This window comes from Homo sapiens, chromosome 7 (genome assembly GCF_000001405.40).
Source record: "Homo sapiens chromosome 7, GRCh38.p14 Primary Assembly".
Classification (NCBI taxonomy): Eukaryota; Metazoa; Chordata; class Mammalia; order Primates; family Hominidae; genus Homo; species Homo sapiens.
The window spans coordinates 145,692,709-145,693,711 of NC_000007.14; positions in this window are offsets into that span (position 1 = coordinate 145,692,709).

Sequence of the window (1,003 nt, forward strand, 5' to 3'; positions counted from 1 at the left end):
AGAGAACCTCTGACTGGTCTTGCCCTGGGAGAATGGGGTGGAGCCAGGGAAGTTCACACCGTTTGCAGAGGAGAGAAGCTTGGCCTCATGCATTCCTGCATGGTGAGGCAGAAGCCAGTTAACAGGCTTCCCTCTCACTCTGCTGAAAGTTTTTCCCTTTTTCCATTTTTGCCCAATAAATTCCTTTTTTCTCACCCTTCTAGATGTCCACAAGCCTAATATTTTCTGGTCATGTGACAAGAACCTGGTTTTTAGCTGAACTAAGGAGAAAGTCCTGCAATAGAGGAAACCTAACTGCTTTTATAAAAGCAAACAATAATAAAAAAAAAACACCCTTCAGACTTAAACAATTAAGTTATAAATTCTGACTGCCATTACTAAATCAATGGTCTTCTGCCTCTCTTACATCTGACAAGATTGATGGCTTTATTTTCTAAGATGTGTTTCTATTTTCAAGACTAACCATGTTATTTATTATATCTTGAATTTAATTTTTAGAGAGCAGTTTTACCCCATTTATCTAAATTTACCCCTCAGTTCTGACCAGATTGGTAAGAAGAGCTGGGGATGGTGATGAGAACAGTCATCAGGTAGGCAGAATCATATGAAAACCTTTCCAGGAATGGGTGGAGATGGCTTTCTGTTTTCTTTCTGTTGTTGCTGTCGTGGTGGCAAGAACACTTAACTTGAGATCTACCTTCTTAACAAATTCATAGGTACACAATACACTATTGTTAAATACAAGCACAAGATTGTACAGCAAATCTCTAGAACTTGCTCATCTTACATAGCTGAATCTTGAAAGCCACTGAAGATCAACCCTCCACCATTTCCCCTCAGCCCTAGCACTGCCAACTGCCCTATTACTCTGTTTCCCTGAGTTGGATTAGTTTACATATCTGGTGGAAGAGGAATCGTGCAGTATTTGTAGAATGGTTTGGAGATTGGTTTATATTACTTAACATGGGGTCCTCCAGGTTTATCCATGCTGTCGCATATAGCA